At 47.6% G+C, this 8377-nt stretch overlaps 1 protein-coding gene across 3 annotated transcripts in view, besides 2 other annotated features; it reads right to left on the bottom strand.

Moving 5' to 3' along the window:
• Positions 658-1157: an enhancer, noted in NCBI's record as "H3K4me1 hESC enhancer chr8:26519137-26519636 (GRCh37/hg19 assembly coordinates)". NCBI's record gives its function as "activates a minimal SCP1, AML or CMV promoter by ChIP-STARR-seq in primed H9 embryonic stem cells {active_cell/tissue: H9 hESC(primed)}" and the evidence as "EXISTENCE:reporter gene assay evidence [ECO:0000049][PMID:30033119]".
• Positions 1158-1659: an enhancer, noted in NCBI's record as "H3K4me1 hESC enhancer chr8:26518635-26519136 (GRCh37/hg19 assembly coordinates)". NCBI's record gives its function as "activates a minimal SCP1, AML or CMV promoter by ChIP-STARR-seq in primed H9 embryonic stem cells {active_cell/tissue: H9 hESC(primed)}" and the evidence as "EXISTENCE:reporter gene assay evidence [ECO:0000049][PMID:30033119]".
• DPYSL2 (dihydropyrimidinase like 2) overlaps positions 4603-8377 on the bottom strand; it is a 144145-nt gene continuing 140370 nt past the window's right edge. For all 3 annotated transcript variants that reach the window (NM_001197293.3, NM_001386.6, NM_001244604.2), the window contains exon 14: positions 4603-7163. In NM_001197293.3, the coding sequence (NP_001184222.1) occupies positions 7072-7163 (92 nt within the window). In that variant the 3' untranslated portion in view covers positions 4603-7071. The remainder of the gene's footprint in view (positions 7164-8377) is intronic.

Below are 8377 nucleotides of genomic sequence, written 5' to 3'. Positions count from 1 at the left end.
ATGCAAGTGACCGAATCAAGCAGGGCAGGCTGGCAGTGGGGGACCTCATCAGATTCACCTCTTGGTTTCACAGTGGGAAGACATGGGTTCAAGGAAACTGAGGGAACTCGCGAGAGAGTTGAAGTACCTGCCATGGGGTCCTGGTGGGGTGCGGAGGACAGGCTAGGTGGAGGTTTACGACCAGAAAACCGAACGGACAAGAGACTGGTGGTGCAGGATGTCAAAAGTGGGCGCAGTGGGAGGGAGTGGGTGAGAAAAGTGGCCAGAGTTGGGGATCGGGCTGAGAGCCCTTCTCTCTGCCTCTAGGCAGCTAGGCCTGGGCATGAATTCTCACAATTCCTCCTTGTTCTCCTGAGAGATAGGGTCTTGGATGCAACCAAGAGATGGCGCAGTCCTGGACTAGCATGCGGTGCTTTCCTCACTAACTGCTGGAATCCATAATAAAAGGTGAGAGGCAAGGCCAGGTGCAGTGGCTCATGCCTGTAATCCCAGCACTTTAGGAGGCTGAGGCGGGTGGATCACTTGAGGTCAGGAGTTCGAAACCAGCCTGGCCAACATGGTGAAACCCCGACTCTCCTAAAAATAAAATTAAAAAAAAATTAGCCAGGCATGTTGGCACACACCTGTAGTTCCAGCTACTTGGGAGGCTGAGGCAGAAGAATTGCTTGAACTCATGAGGCAGAGGTTGCAGTGAGCTGAGATCACGCCACTACACTCCAGCCTGGGCGACAGAGACCCTGTTTCAAAACAAAAAAAAAGGTAAGAGGTGTGTGTCTCCAGCAGAGGGAGCTCAGCCCTACGGAGAAGTTGAACCAAGTGGGCCGCTTCCCTGGGGCCGCTGGGGAGAGGCTCACCGAGGACTAGATGGACAGCTTTGGAGAGACAGGAAAAATCCAGAGACACGCCCGCCAGTAACGGGAAGCCTCAGTGTCAAGGCCACGGCACATCTGGACTTCGAGGAGGAGGCATTGATCCTGAAGGAGCTGTAGGCAGCGAAATAGGGAGTTCCCCCCTCCCTGCCCACTTCTTCCTTAGGGGTCCACACTGGGTTTTCCAGGGTCCCTGGGGTCCCAAGAGTCCCAGGATAAAGCTGCAAAAAGCTGGTACTGGGCAAGGTCACAGCTGGGGGAGACCTCGCCTTCATCCTCTGTGATCACAACCCTGTTCCCGTTGCACTTGCCAGGTTGGCTGGATGGTCCTGTGTGGTGCAGAGATGTTCGTTAGGACGAGGACTGTGTGTGATCCCTGGCAGGGATGAGGTGTAGCTGCCAAAGCTAATCACGTGAATAAACTCAATGTAATAAGTTGTTTGAACCGTAGAACTTTATAAGCTCTTGTGTTTAGTCTTTGTCAACCCCCCAGTGCTTCTCCCACGGGCCCCTCAGGTTCTGTCCCGCCCTGAGTGGAGGCCCCACGCCTCATGGCCTCAACAAGACACTTACTGCTAGACAACCTGCCTGTTGTCTTCTTGTCTGCCCAAGCCCTGTCCTGATACCAAGGCTTAGTAAAATGATGATGCATTTGTGTCTAGGTCCCTTTGTCACTCCTCAAAGAATTTTCAGACATTATTTTATTTATTCTTTTTTTTTTTTTTTTTTTTTGACGGAGTCTTGCTCTGTCACCCAGGCTGGAGTTAAGTGGCACGATCTTGGCTTACCGCAACCTCCACCTCCCAGGTTCAAGCAATTCTCCTGCCTCAGCCTCCCGAGTAGCTGGGATTACAGGCATGCACCGCCAAACCCGGCTAATTTTGTATTTTTAGCAGAGACGGGGTTTCGCCATGTTGGTCAGCCTGGTCTTGAACTCCTGACCTCAGGTGATCCACCCACCTCGGCCTCCCAAAGTGCTGGGATTACAGGCATCAACCACCACACCCGGCCTATTTTATTTATTCTTTTGAGATCCTTATAAAAGTTACATACATACGTTTGTGTATAGACACACATTTGTAATTTTTTTGCCAAATCAACACAATTTTCTCAATTCTTATCTATAAAACTTGGCCGGGCGCAGTGGCTCACGCCTGTAATCCCAGCACTTTGGCCGGGCGGGCGGATCATGAGGTCACGAGATCGAGACCATCCCGGCCAACATGGTGAAACCCTGTCTTTACTAAAAATACAAAAATGAGCTGGGCATGGTGGCGCGTGCCTGTAGTCCCAGCTACTTGGAAGGCTGATGCAGGAGAATCACTTGAACCTGGGAGTTGGAGGTTGCAGTGAGCTGAGATCGTGCCACTGCACTCCAGCCTGGTGACAGAGTGAGACTCCGTCAAAAAAAAAAAAAATGTAATGCACTCAGATTATTATTGCTTTCCTTTACTTGTCTCGTCCTCCTCTAGGCCATTTTTCTCCTGACTCCTCCTCTTGTCTATTTTATAGGCTTTTTCATTTCTTCTTAACTAGATCCCCACTATTTCCAAATTTGTGTTGGCTTCCTGAGGTCATTATACTCTTTTCTGCAAAGCTCTCATTTGACCACATTTTTCTCCTGTGGGCTTGCCTGACTACCTGCTCAGTCTTATTCTCTAACACTCCCTGTCCCCTTTGCTCACACCCTTCTAAATAGGAGCTTTCTAAGAGACAGTGGAATAATAGTCATTAAAAACATGTGGGAGGCTGAGGCAGGAGGACAGCTTGAGGCCAGGAGGAGTTCAAGACCCAGGCTGGTCTTGAACTCCTGAATATAGTGAGACCCCCAGCTCTACAAAGAGAAAAAAAATTGACAGGAGTGGTGGTGGACGCATCCATAGTCCTAGCTATTCTGGAGACTGAGAGGCTGAGGCAGGAGGATCACTTGAGCCCAGGAGTTCGAGGCTGGTCTACCTGTAGAAGCCCTCTCTCTGGGCCCCCTCCAGCATGCCTTTCACCACAGAGTGAGGAGTTCCCAAGGGTCAGTGAGATGTTGCCAACCAGAGCCCTTCCAGGCCAGCTTTGGTACCTGGGTCCCTGCTCAAAGGGACCTAAGAGGGACTCTGTGCTGGCTCTATTCTTTGGAGGGAAGACCTCACAGCTGCTGTGGACACCTCACGGGGCAGCTGTTTGCTGGGCTTGGATGGAACTTGGACACGTGGGCTGCAGTGTCCACAGGTATGGGCATGAGGCCCATCTTGGTGTGAGATGAAGCCATTATGAGAATAGGAGGATGGGCTGTGGGCCTGGAGGCTTCATGTTAACTCTTGTCCCAGGTCCCATCAATGTTAAGGTGAGACTTTTTGTCCCTTTCTTGTGGACAGACTCGATTTGACTGGTTCACAGTGCTCTGCCATCAGCATGCAGTGAAAGGCAGGTAAGAGCCAGCCCCAGACGCTCAACACTGTGGTTCCCAGGATTTGCTGTATTCCTTATGAAGGACTCATTTATCTTCTTTACCTTCTGGTCACTGTAAGTGTTGTAAGTGGCCATACTTCCCTTTTGTGTACGTGTTGCCAGGACACTCGGAGCTCGCTAACAAGTTTACAGCCTCGTGGCAGGTGTCACACGCTAACCCCTGCAAGGCCTTATCTTATTTTTCTTGCTCTTATTTTCCCTTTACCCAAACACTCTTTATTTATAAACTGTGGCACTGTGTATGTGTTTGTATAAGTCACCTCATATCCTGTTTGGACAGGGCTGGACAGAAAATAAAAATGGGCTGGCTGCAGTGGCTCACATCTATCATCCCAGCACTTTGGGAGGCCGAGGTGGGTGAACTGTTTGAGCCTAGGAGTTCAAAACCAGCCCAGGCAATATGATGAAACCGTGTCTCTACAAAACAAACAAACAAAAAATTGCTGAGCATGATGGTGTGCAACTTGTAGTCCCAGCTACTCAGGAGGCTGAGGTGGGAGGATCGCTTGAGCCCAAGGGGTCAAGGCTGCAGTGAGCCAAGATCGTGCCACTGCACTGAAGCCTGGGCAACAGAGTGGAACCCTGTCTCAAAAAAAAAAGAGGGGAGGAGGAAGGGAAAAAAAGATAATGACTTCATCAACCCTATGATAGGCCTGGGGGGCCCAAGGCACACACTCTCTTCATTCAGTCTTCTCAGAATCAATAATGTGAGTGCCAGTTATCAGGGTAACCACGGAAACCAAGCATCTGGACTGCTGGGGTGGGCGGGGCTCCTGGCCAAAGTGCATTCTTGACACTTGCATGAAAGTGGAAGACCAAGCCTTTATAACCTGGTTTCCCACAAGTTTCCGGACTGAGGTGTGGATAAGGGCCAACACACCTGCCTCTTATCTTTCATGCTGGAGGATTTTCCGGGGTAAACAAGCTGGAAGGAAGCAGAGAGCCCAGAGGGGTCACCCACATGAAAGCATGTGGTCCCACCCCATTCCCAGTTTCAAGCTTCAGTATGCAGCTTGATTCTGGAGGGCTCTCCAGGATAGAGTCTGTGAATTTCTGACACTTGGTTTGCCATGCACCCGCAGGCTGCATCTTTGCTTAGAATTAGAATCCCGTGGCCTGGACGTAGCAGCCTGTGACATGGAGTGAAAACTCTTGAATTGGTATATTCACCAAACTGAAGCCGAGGGCTCCGTGAATGCTTGTGGAGGGGAAGTCTGGTTGGAGGCCCAAGTCAAGCAGCCGCCTCCCGAACATCTCAATACAGACACACCCCTGAAACAACCACATTTTGCTTTATTAGGCGTTCCATGGTAATATAACACAGAGTTCTTAAGGAATAATAAACACGAGACTTGTTTTTTACCATAATTATTTTGCCATCAAGACAGTGGTTACAAAAAAAAAAGTACTCTTCTGGCTACACACTTTATCAGCTTTAGAACTGAAAGTTCCTCCACTCATGGGTCACAATCACAATTTCCAGGATTAAAAACCATCTATTCTTAAATCCTACACTGTTTTAGAGCATCAAGTCACTGCAGTTATTCAGTTCTGAGACACTGTCGATTTATTTTAGCATTTACATATGACATTCATTTAACAGACACACAAAGCAAGCCAACAGGTAAACATGCTTACACAGCCTGCAGAAATCGTCAGGTTTTAACTTGTTTTTTAAGAAAACAACCAAAACAACCAAAAATTACCATGACCCGGTACAGGAAAAACAGGAAGACTCAAGTGAATACTAGAGCTGCAAGTGTTTCTTAGAATTGAAACAAAAATTGTTTTTTTCCAACTTGTTCAAATTTCCTCTAAGTGCAGGTGAGAAAAAAAGCAAATATATTAAGTCAACCAATTATTTTTTTAAAAGTGCAATTTACCTTTAAAATAACAAATAAACAACAACAACAAAAAACCCAAAACCCCAACCAGATCCCCAAAGGCAAAATGTGTAGAGAGACAAGGGTGGTGATGGAATGACCTACTTTGTGATGTTTTTACGCTTTACAAAAAGCAGATTTGGTATTCAGAAAAGCCTGCAAATACAACATTGCTTAAGAGAACCTGTAAACACGTTTGGAATACAATGCAACACAAGTCAGCAAGGACAGGGGTAGGTCCAAAGGAGCCAGCTAGGGGGAAAGGTGACAGAAAAGGAGAGGGAAGGATGGAGACAGACATCACCTGTGGTCTCTAAGGGGGCCATGTGTTTAATTTATAAGGTTTCCTCCCCACAGGAGTTCTGATGTGATCTATCGTTCATAAAACACATTTCTCCTCTTGCAAAGTAGAATAGACTTTAAGTTTCCCAATGACTTTTTGAGTTTATAGGGCCTCTTTCTATGTAGTGTGTCTTTAGAAATAATTGGACAAGAAAAAAATACGGTTTTTCCCCGAAAATAAAAAGCTCCCATGTGTTCTAGAATCTCAAAAGATACTTAACCAGGAAGCAGCAGGCCCTCGGGTCAGACTCCTATTAGCTTAGCACTTCTGAACTGGTGACTTTGGTTGGTTCACTTGGGTTAATGAGGCTCGGTGTTTAGGTTTGACCGTGACTTTAGCCAGAGAGCACTGCACAGAGGAAAATCTCTCCGGTTCTGCAGCCTCATACCTCTAAAGCTTCTGGGCCCTGTCTGCGGTTCCACGTGTGATACTGTGGGTGAGACGGCATGGCCCATTCCTGCACTTGGCCAGGGTCCCACACTCTAGCACACATCCTCATGATGGCAGGTGGTTAGCACCAGTCCTACATGGACCAGGATGACACAGCACTATGCTTGCAATGGCAAACGCTCAAATCCTTTAGGCGGACCCAACGACCACCATGAAATGGTAGACCTGGGAGGTGAAAAGATAATGGGGCAAGGGAGGAAAACACCGTCTCCGAGACAAGGGCTGGAGGAAACACAGAGAGAGAGAGAGACAGACACGAAAATATTCATGAATTAAAAAGCTAGAGAGAGAAAGAGAGAGTGAGAGCACGCAGAAAAATGGTAAAAGAGAAGAGAATCCTCAAAGGATTTAATCTGCAGCAAAATCTAGGCCAATAACGCAAGCCTGCCCCTTTATCAACAGCTGACCCTGAAGACTACAGAATGGCGATGCGGGTGGGCATTGTGGAGCCTCTCAGGACAGACACGATGAGTTTGCCAACCACCCGGAATCAGCTGGGTGATGACGTAATTGCATCATTAGGATGTCCAGTTCAAACCCCTTGTATTAATATGGAATTAAATGTTCCAATTTAGTATTTAAAAAAAAAAAAAAAAAAGACTCTCCCTGACCCCGGCCCCTCCCCAGCCCCACAAAGAAAACTTCTTAAAATTTTTAAAAAGAAAAGAAAAAGGCAGCTCTGGGCAATTCACTTTATCTTCCCTCCCCCCATGAAAAGGAAGATGCTAACAGACACTAGGAGGTTGAAGGCGAAGGAGACCCTCGCTGGGGGCTGCTTGTTCGCATGTCTAAGTGTTGGGTGTGGTTCCCTGTATGAGCTTGGTGGGTAGTCTTGGGTGTGATACCCATAGATGTGTAGGGAAGTGGATGAGCAAAATCAGTAACTCTTGGTGAGAGACGGGGTGTGGGGCCCCAAGGGGGACCCCATGAACTGGCTGCTCCACAGTAACTATCACAGGCTCTTAAAAAAAAAAACAAAAAAAAAAAAAGGAAGGAAGAAAGAAGTCTCAGAATGTCCTCAGGTGTCCCATCCCCAGTCCCCAGTGGACGGCACAGCCCAGGAGCTCTAGCCCAGGCTGGTGATGTTGGCACGGCCACCGGGGGGCGCCACGATACGCTGGGTGGTGCGGCGGGGAATGTTGTCATCAATCTGAGCACCTGGAGGGAGAGGAGAAGAGAGGAGCGGGTGAGGGGCCAGGACAGTCACACAAGATCCTGCTTGAAGGTGAAATCTCACAGCTCAGGAGGAAAAGTGCTAGTCGCATTCTTTTTTTTTGGAGACAGCGTCTTGCTCTGTTTTCCAGACCAAAGTGCTATGGCACCATCATAGCTCACCACAGCCTCAATCTCCTGGGCTTAAGCCATCCTCCCACTCGGCCCCCTCAAGAAGCTGGGACCACAGCCACAGGCCCCCATACCTAGCTAATTTTTAAATTTTTTGTAAAGAGGGGTTTCGCTATGTTGCTGACGCTGGTCTCAAACTCCTGGGCTCAAGCAATCCTCCTACCTCTGCCTCCCAAAGTGCTGGGATAAGAGGTGTGAGCCACCCTGCCCGGCCTCACATTCTTTGTTCTTCTCTTAAAACCTCACTGAAGTTTAGACTACAGAAGGGAGGTGGAGAGCAGGCATGGTGGCTCATGCCTGGAATCCTACTAACAGCACTTGGAGAGGCTGAGGTGAGAAGATTGCTTGAGTCCAGGAGTTTGAGAACAGTCTGGGCAACACAGTGAGAGCCTATCTCTACAAAAAAAAAAAATTAAAAAATTAGCCAGGCGTGATGGTGCAAGCCTGTAGTACCAGCTACTGGGGAGGCTGAGCTGGGAGGATCACTTGAGCCCAGGAGGTCGAGGCTGCAGTGAGCTGTGATTGCACCACTGCACTCTAGCCTGGGTACTGGGTGACACAGTGAGATACTATTATATCTCTAAAAATAAAAATAAACTTTTTAAAAAGGAGATGAGCCTAAGGTAACCAAAGAATCAGACACTGTATAAAGGTTGTTGGATCTATTACTGGAGAAAGTAAAACTATATACAAAATATCACTACATCTTAGACTCTGTCCTGTCCCCTGTTCTGATTAGTCAAATTGGCTGTGGCTTTTCTGAGGACATAGCCCTCTTCTGGCATTCTAATCCCCTAATCCTACACATATAATCACAAGTAGGAGGAACGATGGCACCTTATATTGGAACAGCTTTGAGAGATCAGAAAACACAGACATGATTATACACGTTTTACTTACAACAAAGTAAAGTTCCTTATTTTTAAATGTTTTGAAAACTGGTAATCCATATATGGGACATAGGTTACTTTCTAAAAACCCATACAACCACCAAGAAAAAAAATTCTCTCTGGTTTAACAATTTCTTT

This window comes from Homo sapiens, chromosome 8, assembly GCF_000001405.40.
Source record: "Homo sapiens chromosome 8, GRCh38.p14 Primary Assembly".
NCBI classification, from domain to species: domain Eukaryota; kingdom Metazoa; phylum Chordata; class Mammalia; order Primates; family Hominidae; genus Homo; species Homo sapiens.
This window is presented reverse-complemented; position numbering and strand designations above follow the sequence as displayed.